The sequence below is a fragment of the Homo sapiens genome, chromosome 15, assembly GCF_000001405.40.
Source record: "Homo sapiens chromosome 15, GRCh38.p14 Primary Assembly".
Classification (NCBI taxonomy): domain Eukaryota; kingdom Metazoa; phylum Chordata; class Mammalia; order Primates; family Hominidae; genus Homo; species Homo sapiens.
The window spans coordinates 31,463,854-31,486,135 of record NC_000015.10 but is presented as its reverse complement, the minus strand read 5'-3'; the positions used below and the strand labels follow the sequence as shown (position 1 = coordinate 31,486,135).

Sequence of the window (22,282 nt, the reverse complement as noted above, 5' to 3'; positions counted from 1 at the left end):
GCCAGGCCTCGGTGCCTTCATGTTAGATGCAGGGCTCTCAGCAGACAACTGTGGGAAGGGTCCTTCCAGCCAGGGACTCCTGAGCCCGCTCTCAGTGCGCTCCTGCTAGCACCAGGCGCACCTCCCTTCCTGGCCCAGCCCGAGTGTCCACCCTTTAGTGTCTCACGCACCAGTCTGAGACACTTCACACCTTCCTATCCCAGGTGGGAAGGGGAAAGGAATGTCAGAGTGGGAGGTGGTGAGGGTCAGTTCTGCCCACCTTTGCTTTGGGGTGACCTGGTCACAGGAGAGTCACCGACTCTTGAACTTGCTTGAAGGGTTTGAGGGGGGGACAAAAATTAAGTGGGAGAGCAATGGGCCTTCTCCCAGGCTCATCCCCTGGAAGCCAGGGACGCCTGTTCAGGTATGAGCACCAGTTCCTGCAGCACCCAGCGGCCAGCATGATGGGCCCTGCCTCTCGTCCAATGACACTCGGTCAGAATTCTCTCCTCACCCAGGGAGGTCCCTACAGAGTAGTAGTAGGTGCTGCCTGCCTCTCTGCTCTCCCACCTCTTTTCTCAGGGTCCCCCCACCCCAGATATGGTCGTGCCCCCCTCAGACTGGTTGACCTCATCAGTGGGTCTCATCCAAGAAGTGCTCCCCAGCGTCACCCCACCCCACCCAGGGGGACTTTTCTGGGAATGGGAACATCTTTTTTGCTGAGCGCAGGCCTATTTCAGAATCCTCCTCAATTTAGCATTCCACCTTGCCAAACTGAGTGAGAAAGGAACTCCTGAAGCGATTTGGCATCCCTGAATCAAGGGGGTGTTTGATCCAAGATCCGATGAATGAGGTTGAGTGCAAGGTTTCTGTCCCATGCCTGGCGTGAGGTGAGACATCTTTTCAGAGGAGGCACTTTTGTGCAGGCCCAGTGTCCTCCCCACCTGAAGGCCTCCATCCTTACAGAGGCCAGCCTGGGACCTGTGTCTGGTCAAGCAGGCGGCCTTGCCAGTGGGGGAAGGCCAGAGTCTGAACCTGACCGTTCTAAATTGTGACAAGGCTCTGGGGACCAAGACCAAGTAGGGTATCTGCACCCTGCTGCAATACCCTACTCAGGGTTCCAGGGTACCAAGTACCTGAGGTCCCCCAGAGAGAAAGAATGAGTACACCCCAGCTTCCCTGGCCAGAAGACACACGCAGTTAAGAGGTCCCTACATCCTTTTACTACCGCAGCAGATCAGAGCCCACTCCTATCCGCTCCTTCAGCACCGCCCATCCGGATGTCACAGTCACCAGAGCGACAGTGGGGACTGGGACAGTGAAGGTCCAGGGCCCTAGCCTCGGCAACACAGGGGCAAGGTGTGTCTTCCTCGCTGGCGCGTGGACAGCTCTTCTCTAACCACCTTCGATCCGGCCCTCCCTCTCCACACAGGCGCCCCTGGCACAGCCGGAGTCTCCCACGGCCTCGGCAGGGGAGGACGTGCAGTCCCTGGCCGACTCGCTGGACTCGGACCGCGATTCGGTGTGCAGCAATTCTAACAGCAATAACGGCAAGAACGGCAAGGACAAGGAGAAGGAGAAGCAGCGCAAGGAGAAGGACAAGACGCGCGCCGACTCCGTGGCCAACAAGCTGGGCAGCTTCAGCAAGACGCTGGGCATCAAGCTGAAGAAAAACATGGGCGGCCTCGGCGGCCTGGTGCACGGCAAGATGGGCCGCGCCAACTCCGCCAATGGCAAGAACGGGGACTCGGCCGAGCGGGGCAAGGAGAAGAAGGCCAAGTCGCGCAAGGGCAGCAAGGAGGAGTCTGGTGCGTCGGCCAGCACGTCGCCGTCGGAAAAGACCACGCCGTCGCCCACAGACAAGGCAGCGGGCGCGTCGCCGGCGGAGAAGGGCGGTGGGCCGCGGGGCGACGCCTGGAAGTACAGCACGGATGTGAAGCTGAGCCTCAACATCCTGCGCGCCGCCATGCAGGGGGAGCGCAAGTTCATCTTCGCCGGCCTGCTGCTCACCAGCCACCGGCACCAGTTCCACGAGGAGATGATCGGCTACTACCTGACGAGCGCGCAGGAGCGCTTCAGCGCCGAGCAGGAGCAGCGGCGCCGCGACGCCGCTACTGCGGCCGCCGCTGCCGCCGCCGCCGCCGCCGCCACGGCCAAGCGGCCGCCGCGCAGACCGGAGACGGAGGGCGTGCCGGTCCCGGAGCGCGCCTCTCCGGGCCCACCCACGCAGCTGGTGCTCAAGCTCAAGGAGCGGCCGAGCCCCGGGCCCGCGGCAGGGCGTGCGGCGCGGGCGGCGGCGGGCGGCACGGCCTCCCCGGGGGGAGGCGCGCGGCGTGCGAGCGCCAGCGGACCAGTGCCTGGCCGCAGCCCCCCGGCGCCAGCGCGCCAGAGCGTCATCCACGTGCAGGCGTCGGGCGCGCGGGACGAGGCGTGCGCGCCGGCCGTGGGGGCGCTGCGGCCGTGCGCCACGTACCCGCAGCAGAACCGCTCGCTGTCGTCGCAGAGCTACAGCCCGGCGCGCGCCGCCGCCCTGCGCACCGTCAACACGGTCGAGTCGCTGGCGCGCGCGGTGCCCGGGGCCCTACCGGGCGCGGCGGGGACGGCGGGGGCGGCCGAGCACAAGTCGCAGACCTACACCAACGGCTTCGGCGCCCTGCGCGACGGCCTGGAGTTCGCCGACGCCGACGCGCCGACCGCGCGCTCGAACGGTGAGTGCGGCCGTGGCGGCCCGGGGCCGGTGCAGCGGCGCTGCCAGCGCGAGAACTGTGCGTTCTACGGGCGCGCCGAGACCGAGCACTACTGCTCCTACTGCTACCGCGAGGAGCTGCGGCGGCGGCGCGAGGCGCGCGGGGCCCGGCCCTGAGCGGCGCGGCGCGGCGCGGGCGGCGAGGTTCTACCTTCGAGGATTTCTTTTCCATTGTGTCGGTGTCTTTTTTACATGCCCTGGTCCACCGGAAGGCCGGCGCCTCCTCTGTCAGTGCCGTGTACGTGTTTGGTCAAACGTTCCTAATGGTGCCTGAACCTACACTGACGCCACTCAGGTAGTAGACGGATAGGAAACAAGTCATACTGTTGGAAGTGGGTGTGCTAGCCTAGCATCTGCCTCGTACCTGTGGAAACTCAATAGCCATTGCAAGAGTATTTTTGTTCCTCAGTAAGAGAAATAAAGAAATTCGCAGCCCTTTGTTTTAAGAAGGGAGTGTTTTACATGCTTTTTTTGCTTTTTTTTTTTTCTCCTACCCTAGCGATGACCTCTTCCAGGTAGCGGTCCCTTGTGCGCGGTTGGTAGTACCCAGGGCTTAGAGCGAGCGCGCACCCGGGGCTGCGGTGGAGGCTCCTCTGTGAGCTCTACCTGCCTCCCATCCCGAGGCCTAGGAGAAGGCGGGTACCTGGCCGCCAGCTGACGCCCTGGTGGTCACTGTGGCCCTTTAGAAACACACAGCTCCATTTCATAAGCAAAACCTCCTCCCCCAGCCCCGGCTCAAGCACCATTCACACTGCCATCCAAGCCGCGGGCGGCCGTGGAAAGGGCACTGGACCACCCGTCTCGCGGGCGCCGTGAGGTACAGCGATGGCTCCCAGTGCCGGGCAGTTCAGGTGACAGGAGCTTTCCAAAGACACCTAGGGTCCAAAAAGCAGGGTTCCCATCTCACAATTTGGATTTGCTCATAGAGGAGCAGATAGGACAGGCTGCTCACATTTCTCCTTTGAAGGCACTTCCACAGTGGACTGTCGCTGGCGGGCCCCTGGGCGGTGACCATCGGTGCCCCGGGAGACAGCGAGGAATTGACCCTTTGGTCACTGTGTAAGCCCCCACTAGGCTGCTGCTCTTTCCAAAGGGAAGGGGCTGGGGGAACCAGGAAGGAAGCCCACCCCCACACCTGCATCTGTCTGGGTTCAGCCAGGTAAAGGGACTCACTGTGATCGTGGCCCCTCCACGGGGCAGGACGACCCTGCCTCCGTCTCGTGACACAATGAGGGAGCAGCCCGATCCCTGAGCGGTCTCTTTTTTGGTGCCTCCTACATTTCTTGAGGAAAAAAAAAATGTGTCCTTAGCTACCCTGTTTTGAGCAGCAATATGCAGCCTCTTCCTTCCAAGATTACCTCCGGAGAACACCGTTCTTGGCCAAGGACACTGAGGAGCTAAATCTGCCTCACTAAGGAACGAGCTTGTTTCCAAGAAATGAGGATAAGATGGGTAAAATCCTCACTAACAAAGAATACTATAAAACCTGTGAGAGCCTTAGAATAGCTTCTAATAATCCTAGGACAGGAGAAAGCGCCTGGCTTTGCTGTGAGTGTATCCTCAGAAAAAGCAGGAGGTCGACCATCTCTTCACTGGAGCCAGCTTCTCCTCTAGAAACGATGCTTTTTTCCCTAACTAAAGAGCAGCAAAAACAAAAAAAAAGGGGGGGCGAGGGGATTTTTTTTACTTGTTTGAGAAATTATAATAAAATAATTGAGTATCTCCTGTGAGTAATGCCTTTTTGTTTTTAATTATTCCACAGCAGGTGGAGTTTTCAGTAATTTGTTCAAGTTTTGCATAAGTGGTTCCTTAAATCAAAAATTATTTATTAAATAGGATCTTTAAGAAATTTTTTGAAAGTTTTACTTTTCCTGCTGAACAATATTTTCAATGTGTGGTAATTACTGTACTAACATCCATGTCCCTAATATTACTGGGGTTTCTTTTATTACTCAGAAAACAAAAGTGGTTTTTTAAAAATCTCATGGAGAGGGTCTGTGGCAGCTTTCTGGACTGATTCTTCGTGTCACGCTGAGCAGCTGCTTTGGCATCCAAAGCTGTGGGATCACAGAAAGTGTTGCTTCAGGTGTGGATGCCAGCCACTCCTCATGCTCGTCACTCTTAAAAGATTGAGACACCCAACCTTAAAAATGCTCCAATAATCCATTCAGAAACCAAACTCATATGCACAAGATGTCAAGGAGGCATAAAGTCAATTCTTGCTTGTTTTTTTCATTTCTTAATGTAAAAACAGCCAACCAGAAATTTCTAAAACTGGCTATGCTAATTCAGATATTTTCTTTCTCACGCTATCTGCCAGGTTTGTCTAATTTAAAAAATAAAAAAATAAAACAGAATAAAAACCGTCCATTGTAATAGAGGAAAACCTTCCAAACCAGGCAGAGTACGTAATTATCAAAACACCAGGACCTATTCTACCCTTGCATTTCCAAGTTACCTCCACCCATCACCATCTGATGACAGATGTGCCCTAAATAAGAGCCTGAGATAAAGCCACTGGCTGCATCCTGCACCCCAGCTTCTCAATGTGGTAACGAGGCGCCAGACGCCTGTAGACACCTGCTCCAGGCTGATACATTACCACTCAGTCCACATGACTTAGGAATAGCCATTTCCTTTTGTGAGAGAGCTGGATCCATCCTTCCTCTAAACAGTATTAAAAATGCAAAAGGGAGAGAGCGGATGGTCATATTAAATGTGCTAGTCCCGTGCACCGACAGCATGCTCCTTGAGAAGAGGCGTGTAGACCTCGTCCCTGGCCAGAGACCAACTTCAGCAGGCTGGCCAGAAACTATTAAAAACTGTGTTGACTGCATGTGGGCCAAGGGCTTCCCTCGTGTTCCATGGCGTGAGGGCCCTTTGTGGAGCAGGGAGAAAGGGAAGAAGGTGAGTCCTACCGGGGTGCATGGCCCTGCTGCCCTAGCTGACCCTGCCTGAGAGCAGCCTTCCCCACCTGATCTGGCCACACTTCCCTTTCTAGGAAGGACAGGTGTCTCCAAGGGACTGCAGGTTTCCAGAGGATCCCAGATACTTCTAAACCCCTGCGAAGGTTATTTCAGAAATTTACTTTACATTTCCTGCACATTTGTTATCTGGGTAAATGATTTTTTTAAAATATTGTTAAGGGAAGGTGTTTTTCAGTGTATTCTGTTGGTAGACTTTATGCTGTGTTACGTTGAAATTTTACAAGCCAAGTTTAAACTGTACTATAAAAATTATTTTTGTATTATTTTCAGAACATGCCACAGAGCAATATTTTGCACCCGTTATTGCCACAGGGTTGTCCCTTGGAAGGGTAACTGGAGGTGGGAAGGAGCTCCACTGTGGGCTCCGGGGGGTTAAACGCTTTTTGCTGCTTGTTCAAATACCTTCTGAAAGTGGGAATGTATCAGTGTCTTTTTTTATTGAAAGCTTGATTTCCTTTTTTCTGTTCATGGATTTTGGTACTGCACCTTTCCTCTTAAATGAATACTTTGTATTCACTAAATTACTGTGGACCTTTTCATACCTATTACCACCCAGTGGCATTTGAATCTATTTACAAATCGAATGTTTTCCCAAATGATTTAATTTACTACTTCTCGTAGCTTACTGTCAAGAATTGGGGGTGCTGAAGATAAAAGGACTCTCCATGCCCCCCAGGTGCACACCTCAGGGTGTGGACATCCTCCATGCAGAGCCCGCCCTGTCTCTGGGGAGGGGTCATGGGCCCATCACCCCCCCCCCCCACTTAGTGTCCACAAACTTATTTTGCGAACTATTCTACTTTGCAAAAATAAACTTAAAATATACTTCCCATTGGTTAAGATAAAAGGGCTGTACTTATCAGTGGTGGGAAATTTGTACAAGAAAAAACAGACTTTTCCAAATCCATGTGTGTAAGTTCCATTCCATGTGAGTCTTTTATTTACGAAGAGACCTGGAGTAAAAGCTGAAGGCATCTACTGTATGTTTGGGGCTCCTTTCTTTATGGCCATGATTTTTTTTCTCCTCATCTTGGTGTGGACTTTAAAATTAAGTACCCCCAGTGTTCTGTCCTTTTTCTTTCCTCAGTGCTTCTAATAGATAAGAAGAAATGTGTTTCTGTGGCTGAGCAAGCCCTGCTGGGCCAGACAGACCTTACCAGCCCTGGCTTCATCCTCGCTGGGCTGCAGAGGCGGCCCCTGCTCTAGTTGAGTCCGGTTCTGCTGCCAGCTGAGGACAGACACACCGTATGAAGGGCCTAGAGGTGGCTGGCATGCCAGGGAGCAGGTGGCCCCTTCCAAAACGCCTTAAAGTGGTGGCTCTCTAGAGATCTGAGGCACCACCTTCCCATTTACTCCTGACTCTAAACTCTAGCTGGCCTGTTTTAGTGTGGCTGGCCGGGGCAGTGACCAGCGCTCAGCTTTGTTCTTGTTTAATTCAAGTCCACCCTGTTGCCCGTGTCCTCTCCACAGCTCTGGGTCTGTTGGCCCGGAGTGTATTTCTGCCAGTGCTGCCTCACTGACTCGGGAGTGGGTCCTGGGTAGTTCACGATAGAGAGGCCAGCACACGCCATGGGGAGAGCCCCCCACGCTCACCCCAGGAGGCCCTGCGGCACATCCAGGCTGGACCACTCTGCAAGCTTCTGTCACAAAAGACAGCTCCGGGCACTGTGCAAATTGGCCTGTTAGCAGTTATGCAGGTCCCTTCTTTGCCAAAAGATCTATTATTCCTCCCCACTGCACCCCCAGCAGAAAAGAGCGAGGGAGATGCCCTGCAGGGACCCCTTGGGAACAACAGTTATGTGCAGTCTGTGCAGTATGAAGAACTTGGCCCCACCAGGCTGAGCCGAAGACACACGTAGTTGCAGAGTAGCACTGAAGCCATCATCTCCAACCATGCTAGTAATGTTACTGTTTCTATTTATTTTGCCAAATGATTTGTTGAAAATTGCATTTTTGCTATTTTAATCTTGCCAAAAAAGGGGGCCTCACTAATCCTAATTATGTACATACAGAATGATGCACATTGCTTGCATCTTTTTATTCCTCCCAAAGAGCATATCAAGGATATATATATACATAATTTGTTAGTTTAACATAAGGCGAAGAGTACCATTTGGTTTTAAGAGTAAATATAGGCTGAATTTATTCAAGACCAAAGCAACCTATTTAATGAGGACAAATGAGTGAAACCAGCTGTTTTAGAATTTATCTGCAGACACTGGAGTGCTCCTTTAAACGAAGAAACAGCCTCCCATGGCAGAGGAAAAGCCAGGTCCTTACAAAGGCCTCTCCCATCCCAGTACTTCTTCTGCCTGCTGCTCTGCCCTGGGACGTAGGCCTTCCTGCCGTTTCTAGTCACAGGCACCCTCCTGCCTCAGGGCCTTTGCACATGCCATTCCTTCTACCTGAACATTCTTCCCCAGAGAGCCACATGGTTCACCCCTCACTACCTGCCAGTCTTTGCTCCAATGTCACCTTTCAACGAGGCCTTCCCTGACTTATTTAAAAGGACAACACACCCCACCCTCCCTCCCTACCCACCTCTCTGCATCTTCTTCTTGTGCACCTATCACCATCTGAGTGCTGCAGATGTTAATCATTCATCCATTTATTTGATTCTCGCCTCCCCATCTCCCATAGACTGTAAGCTCCATGTGGGCAGGAACTTTTATATGTCTTGCTCATTGCTGTATCCTGGTGCCTACAACAGTGCCTGACACATATTAGGCACTGGATAAGTATTTATTGAAAAAAGGAAATTAAATCAGTAAATTGAAAACTATTAAGAGGCCAGAAAATGTCAATTTCAGCTTTCATCAAATCTAGGTTCTATTATTGTGAGAACTTTAGCTGACCCAGTGACCTGGCTCCTATGGGTACAAGATGGTTAGATACACCGGGCAGCAGCGGTGGCTTCTGTTCACAGACAAGTGAATGCCTGCCCTGCCGCTAGCCCCACCTCACAAATATGAGGCTCACTGTTCGCAGGGGAGCATTTTGGAACCAGCTGGGATGAAGACAGTTTTCTGCAGGTAGCTTTTGTAGCCAGATGCACAGTAGTGGGTTCCCATCACTCCATGAGGTCACTGTAGACCTGGACCATTCCAGAGAATCCTTTGTAATCAGTCTTTAGGTGTCTCCCAGTCCTTCCCAGTTCAACACGGGTGGCAGCAGATGGCCCAGCCCAGGGAAAGTCCACCTGACCATTAGAAGGACTCATCCTCCAGCCACCAAAGCAAGGCTGCAGAGGAAGAGGAGCTTGTCACAAACATTAACCGGCTCAGGGCTGGGTAACTGCATTGACAAATTTGGAAGCAGCAGGGCCAGAGAGCCAAGGCCCCCGGGTATCCCCATTGGCCACTGGTGGAGGTGCACTGGAAGGTCAGGGCCTTGACACCACAGAGCCAAGCAACACACACCTCCTTGGGCCCAGGCCCCAGCACGGTGGCCCTCCAGTGCTGGCAGGTGGCCTCACCCACAGCAGGGGAGGCGTGGGTCCTCCAATGACCTTCCTGCCCCTGCCAGATGATTTTCACAACTACCTAACTTTGGTGTTTACTTCTAGGTCCTTTGGCCAAATGCGTTTTCTTCTAAGAGTTGTTGGCAAAATACTGTTACAAGCTTCTTATGGGACTTTTGTCCTACTGTGGCCTGGTTAAAGGCTTTGTCCTCCTGTTTAATCCACTTCCGTGGTTTTGCTGTCATTTCTCTTGATGCCATATTTTCAGGTCCCTCGTGGGAGGGGGCATAAGGTCTCCATCGTGATGCCCTCTCTGCAGCTGTCCAGCCAGCAGTGAGTGGGCCCACACATGTGCATTCCTGTGCTTGAATTGCCAAATAAACAGTGTCCCTTTCATTGCTGCCCAAACAGACTGGAAGCCTGCTCCTGCCAGCACTCAGGGAGGGAGTGTGTGCTTCCCAAGAGCCTGCCCCCTTGGCCCATGCAAACTTTCTCCATGGCAGGTGTCCGTGAAGGTCTCCCAGGCCCTATGGGCTGTCCAGCTCTTTGCACACATTCTTCCCGCTTGCAGGAATGGAATCCAAACACCTGATACGGAATGATGACTTGGCAGTGGGGAGTGGGGCAGCTTGTCTCCGCTAACTTAGGACCAAAACTAGGAAACTCACCATGAGCATGTGTTGGAGATCAGCTGTGGCCTCCAGCCCCTGTACACACAGAGGCAAGCCCCACCTCTGACAGAGCCAGTCACCGTTCAGTAGGAGCTTGTCTTCCCTGGGCCCCCAGGTGGGAAAGGCTGGGCTCTTAGTCCTACAAGTAAAGGCGCTGTTAGGAGCAAGGAGCAGGCTTAGCTGGGTCCACAGAGGGACTAAGCTCCTTAGTGACCTGTTACTGCCTCATCTACGGAGTTTGAACTCCATTCACCATCACCTTTGAGAATTTGGCCTTGTTTTAACTAAGGATTGTTGAAGTTAATTATAACAAGGGACCATCCTCACCCTGTGTTTGCTTTGTTCCATTAAACGTGCGTTTGGCCTAATGAAGTCAGTGAATGTTCCTCTTTTTTCTTTTTTGGTTTCTTTGACTGATTTTTGGATGATATATGTTGCTTTATTTCTCCCATTTTCTTTGATTACTGTGGACAAAGGAAAACACTGAGGCAAAAGTAGGTCGTCAATCACATTACTTTGACCCAGTTGTGCAGAACCCCTTTCTACCTGCAGGTGTTAATTCCAATTCAATGCAAATATCCTTTTCAATCCGGTCCATTCTTGGAGAAGAAACCCATTGTAAGAGCTGTCTTCTGTGGTTGGGATATTACTTTGTAAAGTATTAAAGCACTAAACCAGTTTTTGCAATATGTAGTAAATCTTGCTTTCATTTTGGAAAACTTCCAGTAATGACTACTGCACTTTTTATAGAAGAATTGTATTTAATTTCTTTCTTTTATGAAAGATTATTTCAAGTAAAAATAGCTCTGTAATCTGTGTGACATGGCTTCTCCATTACCTGACACAGAGAGAAGCTTTGATGCCTACTCAATAAAATTAACATGTTTGTAAAGTATTGGTTGGTCCAATTATTTGCCCACTGACTCCTGTGTTCTTGGTAAAATGCCATCTAAGAAAAGCTTTATTGCCAAGAGGAAGAGGACTATATCAGACATCCATCCATACCAGTTTTGTTTTGTTTAAGTGTTTTCCCAGCCAGATGAGATGTAAACCCAGTTGTCACCATTTCATTCTCTTTTTTTTTTTTTTTTTTTTTTTTTTTGTTTGAGACGGAGTCTAGCTCTCTGTCACCCAGGCAGTGGCGTGATCTTGGCTCAGTGCAACCTCTGCCTCCCAGGTTCAAGTGATATTCTCCTGCCTCAGCCTCCTGAGTAGCTGGGATTACAAGTGCGCACCATCATGCCCAGCTAATCTTTTTTTTTTTTTTTTGTATTTTTAGTAGAGACAGGTTTTCACTACTCTGTTGTTGGCCAGGCTGGTCTCAAACTCCTGACCTCAAGTGATCCACCTGCCTCAGCCTCCCAAAATGCTGGGATTACAGGCGCGAGCCAGCACGCCTGGCCAAGTTTCATTCATATAAGAGGAAAATAGTTTCTCTCCTTTCTAAAATGACCATGACACATTCTATCTGGATGAAAGCTGTATTTAGTCTGTTTTCACACTCCGGATAAGGACATACCTGAGACTGGGTAATTTCTAAAAAAAAAAGAGGTTTAATGGACTCACAGTTCCACGTGTTTGGGGAGGCCTCCCAATCATGGCAGAATGCAAAAGGCAAGTCTTACGTGGCAACAAGCAAGAGAGAATGACAGCCAAGTGAAAGGGGAAACCCCTTATAAAACCATCAGATCTCATGAGACTTACTACCACGAGAACAGTATGGGGGAAACCGCCTCCATGATTCAATTATCTCCCACCAGGTCCCTCCCACAACACATGGGAATTATGGGAGCTACAATTCAAGATGAGATTTGGGTGGGGGCGCAGCCAAACCATATCAAAAGCTGAATAGGGTTGTCCTTAACATGTCTTCACCAGAGGTTGCAACCATAAGCAAGAGAATGGCAGCTGGGAGCATAGAGGAGGAGGAGGAGGATTTTGCCGTGAATTTTTATCTGTGAGTGCTCTTCTATGGAGGAGAGGCGCTGCCTCTGTAAAAGAAAGAAGCCCCCTCAGGAAGCTGTGGGTGGGGTCCAGGCCACAGGCCTATCTAAAGAAGGTGTGATGCACCCAGGACTCAGTCCCAACCCACTGTGTGCCATGCACTGGGACAGTGATGGAGGAGGTAATGACAGGGTCTCACGCACTGAATAGGCATCATTGGGGGGTGGCACATTCTGTGCCTAGTGGAATTCAATCCATGCAGCAACCGTGTGAGATAGCAAAATCTCTGTGTTGTAGAGAAGAAAAGTAAGGTTTGGCGAGGTAAGTCGTAAAGCCAGGATTCCAGCTCAGGTGTGTCTGACATGAGGGTCTGTGCTCCCAGCATCAGAGTACATTGTCATCCTGAGGAATGGGCAAGGCCCCTGCCCAGGAGGAGCTCAGAGTCTGGGGGATGGTGACACCCAAGTCCATCTGGCTCCAGGTGGGGGGTGAGTTAGCACAGATGGGAGAAGGACAGGAAAGATACCTGGCAGGGCTGTGGGATTTGCTGGAGCCATGGCCACTACATACCCATGGAATCCTGTTAAGGCCAATGGGACCATCCGTTTCTGGCTCTAATGTTTTTCTACACGAGGAAACAGGAAACTGTTCTTAGTTTGTTCAGGACAAGCAGAGAATCCCGTATGAAAGACAAAATACTGCATTTGAAGCTTTGAAATGTGCTTAGAAGACTATATAGGATGGTGGTAGGAACCCTGGATTGGGCTGGCCCCAGAATTGACCTTGAGGAAGGCATCTCACCCCTCCAGCCCCAGGTTTCTGTTCTGTAAAAAGCGACTCAAGGCTCTTGAAGTTTCCCCACCAAATCAAAAAATCTGTGTATTATTTAGAAAAACAGAAGTCACCTCAGTTATTTTGACAGAGAATTTAGTATAGGAAACTAGTCAAGCAGGTATTGGAAGCCTAAAAAACACAAAAAGGAGACATACACGTCCCACGGAGAGAACATACAGGAAGCAGCTTCCTCACAGGGTCAGGGGCAAAGCAAAGAGAGCATGTTGTTAAAATCCACAGGCAGATAGGGCAGGGCTCCACCGCGTTGAGGTCAGACCTTTGAAAAGGGAGCTCTTCCCAGCTGGTGCCTGTGCCTCAGGAAGCCAGAGGGGGAGGCTCGCAGTGCTAGGCTCAGATCACCAGGGAGGGGTTGCCGGTGTCTCAGTAGAGGCTGTGATTTGGCCACTTCTTTCCTGTGGGGGGAAGAATGAAATTGAAACAAACTGCAGCTAGCAAGTGAAGAGCTGTTGCTAAGACAACATTGAGAGAAACTGGAAGCAAAAGGAATGAGCAAGTCCTTATGTGTCTTGACCCACCTACACACATGCATATATATGCATGTATGCATGTATGAACGTACATGTATGTGTGTATACACGCACACTGAGCAAGAAGAAAGATAGGCAAATATGCCTCCCTACTGCAGGCCCCCCTGGAACTGAAGCTGGCCACAGAGCACTGTTGGTGTTTGAAACTACCTTCTTCCATAACCATTCCATGTTGGCTTTGCTCTCAGGCAGACCTCAGGTTGTTGGGATTCTTTACCTGAAGGACAATCCAAACTTTCATTCCTGTAGATGCTGAGTCCTCACAAGCCCTTTTTTTCAATGCCATCATTTACCATTAACTTATTTTTGGATGTGGACAAAATTAAAGGCACCCCAAAGAGTCCCCTAGATTTCAGACATCATTTATTGGCCCCCATTATGTAGCAACAACTCATTCAGTCACCCAGCCAATAGAGTAACGACTTTCTTTGCATTGATTCACCTAGCTCAGAAGCCCAAAATGGCCAAGTCTCAGCTCCAGGTTCAGCGAAATCACTGTGCTGCCTTTTGGGAAGCTCCCTGGGGAAGTAAGAACTACAAAACAGAAAAGCGCTAAGGTGTGGAGCAGGGGAGGTATAGATTCTTGGTTACGAGGTATGGGGCAGGGGCAGGTACAGATTCTTGGTTACAAGGCTTCATAGTGACAAGAGCTCCTCATATGCCCACCTCTTGTTTCCCAGACCATGTGTTCCGGCCATGGGATCATCATATGGCAGACCATATGGCAGTTGCTGATTCAAATCCCAAACTCCATCTGTAAGGTAGAACTCCGACCTTTCAGGGAGCTGTCTCCCTGCTGGCATACTAACTGAGTCTTCACTAGGCAGGACCACAGCACTATCAAGCCAGCTGCTTCTGGGTCAGTGGGATGTGGAGTAAGTGAAATCCTTGTGCATGATCTCATTGCTTTAAAATTGAAATTCTTCATCAGAAGTAACACTGTGTAGAATACCACAGCGATGAATAAGGCACTCTTTAAGTCCACGATAGTGGCTTTTGGCAGCAGCATTGCAGACAGGGAAAGCAAATCTGAATCCAGGGCACACCTATTCCAGTGAGGGAAAATTATTTTCCTTTATGAAGGGGTCCAGCTGGCCAACAGGAATCTGGCTGGCCCTCCCCAGGAATGCACCACAGGGGAGGCTGTCAGAAGATCACTCCAACAAAGCAGTGGTGGCCTCCAGGCTGGCCTTGGCAAGAGGAAATTCATGTCGTGTTCATTCACAGCCTCCATCCCTGTAATCATGGTCCTGGGCGCATTGAATAAACATCAGGATGGCTGGTGGGAGGGTCAGCTAGCATCACAGAGCATGCTTTCTTGTCCACCTGAGTCTCAAGAGCCTCCTCTGCACAGGGAGCTCCTGGTGAGCATAAACATGCCACCCAAATATTTCCAGTCTCTCTACACCTTCTGAGCGATCCATCCACATACATCCTACTCCACCTTCCCGTACATACATCTGTTACCATGCTTCCTTGTCACCAACCTTGGAATCCTGTTCTTTCCAAGTTCCTGAGCATCTAGTCAAATTGTTTTCACCTGCCCATGAATCAGTGTAAATCATGGTTTTTCAATAGTGGCACTATTGAAATTTGGGGACAGATCATTCTTTTCTGTAGGGAACAGTCCTGTGTGCATTGTAAGATGTTCAGCAGCATCACTAGCTGACTGTGGTGGTTAGTTTTACGTGTCAACTTGACTGGGTTAAGGGATGCCCAGCTAGCTGGTAAGCCATTATCTCTGGGTGTGTGTGAGGGTGTTTACAGAAGAAGTTAGCATTTGAATCCATAGACTGAGTAAAGATGGCTCTCAGCAATGTGGGTGGGCCTCATCCAAATCGTTAAGGGCCCACATAGAACAAAAAGGCCCCTAGAGGAAGGTTGAGTTTACACTCTCTGCTTGAACTGAAACATCAATCTTCTCCTGCCCTTCTGCTGGCTCTCCAGCCCTCAGACTGAGACCAGACTTACACCATTGGCCTCCTTGGTTCTCAGAGCTTTGGGTTCAGACTGATGCTACATCAGGGGCTTTCCTGGGCCTCCAGCTTGCAGGTGCAGCTCATGGGACTTCTTGGCCTCCACAATCACGTAACCAAACCCCTCATAATAAATCTGTTGTTTTTGTGTATCTCTCTATATTCCATTGGTTATGCTTCTCTGGAGAACCATGACTAATATACTGACCTCCACTCACTGGATGCCAGTAGCACCCCCACCTAGTTATGGCAATCGAAAATGTCTCCAGACATTGCCAAATGTCCCTGGGGACTGGAACTGGAGAGCACCCACTGCTGAGAATCACTAGTGTAGGTTAATTCTTCTGGCTGTCTTTCGGTCCAGAAAAGCGAGAGCCATTTGTTCTGTTCAAGCGCCATCCACTGGGACAATTTCCCTTCCCTGCCATCTTCCAAGGACACTCCAGAATTCCCAGGGCCCACTCTCAGCTGGTACCCACTATCCCAGATAACCATCTGAAGGCTGGTCTCAGCCATTTGGTCACGGGAGTTTCTGTGAGCCACAGACAGATTGAGAGAGGAGTCAACACAAGCAGGAGTGCATGTCACAGGGGTCTCAGCCACCTGTTCACACACTGACACGTGCCTTCTGGATTTTCTCCAACCCATCCTCTCATACCCGATCTTCACTTGATGACAGCTTACAGCTGCATGTGCCCAACCTTATGGATGGGCGGGTCAAGTAACACCCAGTATTTGATGGCCAGCTTAGTATTGCAGAGTCAGCTGATGTCCCCGGTCATCTGTTCAGTCCTTACCAGGACCCAGGGGTACGCCAGGAGCTGCTTTTTAGAAAGCAGAATGTATATATAGAAGAAGGCATGGGTTTGCTCCAGAATATGGAGTTCAATACTACAGTTCACCTCCTGGAGCTCTCTGCTATGTTGCTGTTGGCCACAAACACTTGAGCACCACTGAATCTGTTGGGTGATGAGGCCCAGGGGACCCCACCTGCAACTGGTAGTCTCAAAGTCACCCTGGTCAATGCATTGGGATAGCACCCCCAAATCATGTATAGGATGCCTTCAAAATGCAAAAAGTCTCAGCAAGCATCATGCCTCATTTTGGGGTATGACCTCTTATCTTTCACTTTCTTGGGGTGTCCTGAAATGCTCCACAGGATCCTCAGCCACTTCACCAAGTGGGTGAGCCCCTGAGCATTTATGGGGTTCATCTCCTACTTTTGTGTCTTACCAAGGTGATGGCAGTGGCTGCTGCCATCACACTGGCTGCAGAAGGGAGGTGGCTGGGGCTGCACACTCCATGGAGCTGGTGGGAGCCCTGCGTTTCTGAGTTGGGGCAGAAGCTCCCTGAAAGTCGCTGTGGCCGCCCAACCCACAGCTGCAGACCCAGGCCTCCTGTGCTTCGAAGAAGGCAGGAGCCCCGCCCTCCTGGACAAGGCTACAGCCGTCCAAACTGTAGCTGTGCTTCCAAGCCTCCCTGTGCTCTTGGAGGGGGGCAGGAGCAGGTAGGAGCTGCCCTCCTGGGTGCAGCTGCCTGAGCGGCGGCTGCAGACCTGGCCCTCCTGCTCCACAGAGCAGGAAGGCGCTAGGGACAAGCAGGACCCCCGCCCCTTCCAAGTTGGTGGGGCGGGAGCTCTCCAGGTGCAGCTGCAGCCCTCCCAGGTGCTGGACGGGGGCATCTCTGCAGCCTGTAGCCTCGGCCCCCATCCTCCATCCCTGCAGGCTCAGGGGTGTCTGCTTCCACTGCCTGGCCCCTCTCCTCTCTGGCACCTGCTCCAATCTCGAAGCCGGGTTGGGGCCAAGCCCTGGGGCCACGAATGGCAACGGAAGGCCTGGGCAGAAGTCGGGGGCGGGGGGTCCCTGTAAGACCCCACCTTCAGGTCAAGGAGGGCCTGAAGGCTGGGGCCGGGCTACCAGTCCCACGGACCAGAGTGGGGACTCGTGGTGCCTCCTCTGGCCCACCCATGGCCACCAGTGGACCAGTCAGCATGCACTTCCTCCCCTCTGAGGTCCATAACAGCCCTGCTCTCAGCCAGAGCAGGACAGAGGACGGTCAGCCAGAGGCCGGAGAGATGATGGGATGACCAACTGCAGAGAGGAGCTACTCACTGTGGGTCTTCTCTGAGCTGTTCTAATACTAAATAAAGTTCTTCGTCTTCTTCACCCTTCACTTGTCTGCGTACCTCATTCTTCCCAGATGCAGGATGAGAACTCGGACAAAGACGCCATGGAGGTTTCCAGGAAGAAAATCAACACCAATCAACTCCCCAAAGATCCCGAAACAAAGGATCCTAATGTACTTGCTACTCCCGTCCCATCAGGACCAATCAGCATAGTGTCAATGGTGTGGCCCACTATGGTTTTCTGTGGCATCTCTGTGGATGCTATCATGGCAGAGAGAGCAGGAAAACTGGCATAACCCTGAGGCAAACTGGGAAGGGGTGCTGTGGGTGCCCTAGACACGAGCAGACTGTTTCTGGTGTTCCTGGAAATTGACATAGAGATTAAGAGCCAACTCTCAGTGCTGCGGGGCTGCAACTGTGGCTCCCAATGAAGAAGCTTCAGGCAAGGTGCCGTGGCTAACACCTGTATTCCCAGCACTTTGGGAGGCCAAGGTGGGTGGGTTACCTGAGGTCAGGAGTTTGAGACCAGCCTGGCCAACATGATGAAACCCCATCTCTACTAAAAATACAAAAATTAGCTGGGCATAGTGGCATGTGCCTGTGATCTCAGCTACTCGGGAGGCTGAGGCAGGAGAATTGCTTGAACCCAGGAGGCGGAGGTTGCAGTGAGCCTAGGTTGCACCACTGCACTCCAGCCTGGGCAACAGAGTGAGACCCAGTCTCAAAAAAAAAAAAAAAAGAGGAAGCTTCATCCAGAACAGCAGCTGCAATTGGAGTCACCAGCTGGTTACCTTCACTCTGAAGCACTGTATTTCCCCAAGACGCGTCTGTCTTCATTAGAGGTTAAGCAGGCCAGGGAAGCAGAGACATAATAGGAACTTGCACCCTGAAATCTCTCCAGTAGTTGATAGCGGCACTAATCTCTGCAACTCCCCTAGGATGTGGGGTTAATTACTTTTGATTTACTATTGAAGTAGGGAGGGAAAATTCCCTTTCTTTCCACTTTCCCTTTCTTTCCACTTTCTACCAAAATGGCATTCACTCCGTGGCAGAAGAGCCAATGTGGGGGCTCTGTGGGGGCTCTGCTGGTTGCCGAGTGGAACTATTTCAATTGTACATTCAGAAATGGGAGACATGACCCCTGGAGAGCCCGCAGACACCGTCCCATGGAAATTCACACCTGGGACCAAACACTTTTTATCATCTGACCTCCATAAGCCCCCACTTTGACTGCTGGGCCATGGTAGTGTCTTGAAGTCCCCCAGATCGGTGACATCTCAGAGCCAGTGCCAGGTAATCACCAGATTATCAAGGCGTTCCTTTCCCCTGCCGTAATTCAGGAGGAGACATTTGTTAGAACAACTCTTTTTGCCCCAGGGCACAGTCACCCTAGAGAAAAGCCACAGGCTCATGGGCAGTAGGCATCTGGGGTAACATGGCCGGGTCCCTTCTCCAGGGACTTTTCTCCAGGGGGCCTGGCTCACGTTTAGTCAAGGAGCTCCATACCTGTCAGGTGGCTCTGGAATTCTGGAAAACCTGATGCACTGCTGTGAGTCTACAATATGGCTACCTAAGTAAGAAATTTCACCTTCAAATCTGCAGTGTTTTCCAATAAAATTAATTTTATTGAGGTGTATTTTATATACAGTAAAATACACAAATATCAAAGTATACTCTGATTAATTTTGGCAAAGACACCCCCCAGGTCATCATCACAGCCAAGATACAGAACATTCCCACCACCCCTGAGACCCTCCTGCCCTTCCCACTGCCCCCTGCCCTCAGAAGCAGCGATTGCACAGGTGTGCTCACTTTAGATTTATTCTGTATAAACCTCATGCAGCATGTGCCATTTCTAGTCAGTTTTCATTTGCTCAACCTGAGGTTTCTGAGATTCATTGCGATTGTTGTGGGTTTCAGCAGTTTGTAATGTTTTTTGATGAATAGTCTCCTATTGCATTGGCCACACCACCATTTGTGTTTGTTTTCTTATTAATGGACATTTGGGTTATTTCCAGTTTGGGAATAAAGCTGCTATGAACATTTGTGAGCATTTGGTAGACACAGGCTTTCAGTTCTTCTGGATAAATACATAGAGTGGGCCGGACGCGGAGGCTCTCTCACCTGTAATCCCTACACTTTTGGGAGGCTGAGGCGGGTGGATCACCTGAGCTCAGGAGTTCCAGACCACCCTGAGCAGCATGGTGAAACCCCATCTCTACTAAAATACAAAAAAATTAGCCGGGGCCAGGCGCGGTGGCTCACGCCTGTAATCCCAGCACTTTGGGAGGCCAAGGCAGGTGGATCACGAGATCAGGAGTTTAAGACCAGCCTGGCCAAGATGGTGAAACCCCCGTCTCTACTAAAAATACGAAAATTAGCTGGGCGTAGCAGTGGGCCCCTGTAATCCCAGCTACTCAGGAGGCTGAGGCAGAGAACTGCTTGACCTGGGAGGCGGAGGTTGCGGTGAGCCCAGATTGTGCCACTGCACTCCAGCCTGGGCGACAGAGCAAGACTCCGTCTCAAAGAAAAAAAAATTAGCCGGGCATGGTGGCCCACGCCTGTAATCCCAGCGACGGGGGAAGCTGAGGCACGAGAATGGCTTGAGACCCAGAGGCAAAGGTCCAGCTTGGGCTACAGAGCAAGACTCCGTCTCAAAAAAAAAAAAAGAAAAAAAAAATACATAGAGTAAAATTGCTGGGTCACAGGATGAGAAGTGTGTACTTAACTTTATTAGAAATTGCCAAACAGTGATCTAAACAGGTTGCATGGTTTTCCATTCCACCAGCAAATGGATTCAGTTACCTGAGACAGGACCATACCACGTCCATTTTTCTGGTGCCCATGCAGTAGCCCCCACAAACGTACCTGGAGCAGCCCAAGTAGCTGTCTGTTCCTTGCACATGGGGTTTTCCACATCTGAGTTAGGCACATGCATGGAAGCACAGAATCCCGCCATGCCCCATGGCATGTTTGCACAGGCCTGCGCCATGTGTTCCTCCTCCCAGGAGCCTCCCCTGTCTCATGCCTCCTCCTACTCCCTTCCTCTTGGAGGTGGAGCTCACATTCTGCCCTCTGTCCTGGTCAGCCTCACCTGTGCCTCCTCTCCTCCCTCAGGTGTTTGGTGTCTGGGTGCCAGGATCTTGATTTGCCCCTGTGCCTTTGAAGGCTCAGTCGATGGTGTGATTAGCACCCTTTCCTTTGGTGCAGAAGAGAAGACTTCCTCTGCGCCCAGGTGAGCTGGGTAAGCAGCCTGAGCCTGGGCATGCCCCTTGCCCGGGGAACAGAGGTGACTCCCTGCCATGCAATTCCCAGGGAGTGTCTGGGAGTGCCCTGGGAGGAGCTCCACAAAGCACCAGGGCTCAGCTCTGCCCCAGGCAGGGACTGCCCAGGAAGGAAGACTTCTCAGTGGAGGTGAGGGCTGCACAGGGCCCTGATCTACTCAGACAGAGAAGGGGACAAAGGGGCACCCCAGCAGATAGGACGTGCACTCCTTCCACAAACTGCCTGAGGACTGCTTTGTGCTGGGCTCACTAAGTGTTGTGGATTTGTCCAGGAATAACACAGCCCAGTGTCCTCCCTTAGTGGTACAGAAGGCAGGAAAGTTAGCATAGGCGCTGCTGTGACAAGAAGGAACAGGGACAATAAGAGCCAGGGCGGTGGCCACTTTCCCCTGGGTCTGGGGGCTCCTACAGTGAGCCCAGGGCTGTCGTGACACAGCCTGGCCACTCTCACATCCTTGACGGGGAGGATCACCAATGCAGCTTTGTGGATGAGGCTCAGAAGGGATAAGATCATCTGCCCAGGGTCACACAGGGAGGAAGGAGCCAAGCCAGGCTGCAGGGTAACTTGGCCGAGTCCCTAAATCTGCACTTGTCCTGGACAAGCCAGCAGAGGGACAGGAAGCCAGAAGTGACCAGGGGCCATTCATCAGTAGCTGGTGGTGCTGGCCAGCCCTCAGGTCATCAGAGCTAGGCGGGCACCATCCTCCATGGCCCCTTCGTGTCCACCCTATTGTCACAAACAGTGCAGGGGCCATGAAGGGAAGGAAATGTGACCAGAGCAGTCCTCGTCCCCACCAGGCTTTACTGCAGGAGACAGCATGGCCCTCCTGCACTCAAGTCTGTCCCTGCCTCCCAGCCCTTAGAGCTGGGCAGCATGAGGCCACTGATGGCTCCCACTGTGCTAGCTCGCCTTCCTCCACGGACTGTCTCAACAAAGTCCCAACACTCATCAGTTCCAGATTTGTGCTCTGTGTTTTTGACTTTCCAGGTTTCCATAACTCATCCCAGCCACTGGAACTGGAGTTCTCTGTGGGGTGGATGAGGGTGTTTGAGCCACGTGTCCCCTGCTCTGATGAGCTCAGCAGCCCTCACCTGAGCACTTCGGCAGCAGAACGGAAGGAGGAGTTCTGGAGGAGGAGAGGCGGGAGCCCCAGCCTGTCTGCTGTTGACCTCCCAGGACCAGCAGGAGCACCTCAGAGACTGGTTCAGGGGTGGGAACCAGTGAAGCGTAGAATATTTCCTGCCAGTCCAAGGAACAGCTGCTATCAGAGTTCCCACGTTTGCAGAAAATGCTTTGCCCTAAGCAGTGAGGTGAGAGCTGGACACCTGCATGGTGAGCACCGTGGAAGAAGAGACCCCTGGTTGGCCACGTGCTGTGTCCACATCAGGGTTTTTCATGTTTTATTCTTCTCACCCAGGAGAAAAAAAGTAAGTTGCCTGTAGCCAACCAATTATTTATTTCTCCTTTCAAATCTAGTATCTTAACCAGTGAGTTAATTCTGTAGTTCTAGATTTTACTGCAGTTTTTGATCAGTAATTCATAATCTGGAATCCATAACCTACTTGTGCTACACCCAACAGTAATAAAATTGGAAGGTTGGGCTTGATGCTTTGTTTATTATCAAATAAAGCCCAGCAGTTTATTCTCCTTTGTCACGAGCAAGCAGTTGGAGGAACACGCCTGACCCATACATTTCCTACCGGAAAATAGGAATGAGCAACGATACT

The 22,282-nt window shown here is 51.4% G+C and overlaps 1 protein-coding gene across 2 annotated transcripts in view, besides 1 other annotated feature; it reads left to right on the top strand.

Annotated features, from left to right (window-relative positions):
• Positions 1-10,738, top strand: part of OTUD7A (OTU deubiquitinase 7A) — a 395,276-nt gene extending 384,538 nt beyond the window's left edge. For both annotated transcript variants that reach the window (NM_001382637.1, NM_130901.3), the window contains one exon: positions 1,412-10,738. In NM_001382637.1, coding sequence (NP_001369566.1) covers positions 1,412-2,842 — 1,431 coding nt within the window. In that variant the 3' untranslated portion in view covers positions 2,843-10,738. The remainder of the gene's footprint in view (positions 1-1,411) is intronic.
• Positions 21,215-21,715: an enhancer, noted in NCBI's record as "H3K4me1 hESC enhancer chr15:31756624-31757124 (GRCh37/hg19 assembly coordinates)". NCBI's record gives its function as "activates a minimal SCP1, AML or CMV promoter by ChIP-STARR-seq in naive H9 embryonic stem cells {active_cell/tissue: H9 hESC(naive)}" and the evidence as "EXISTENCE:reporter gene assay evidence [ECO:0000049][PMID:30033119]".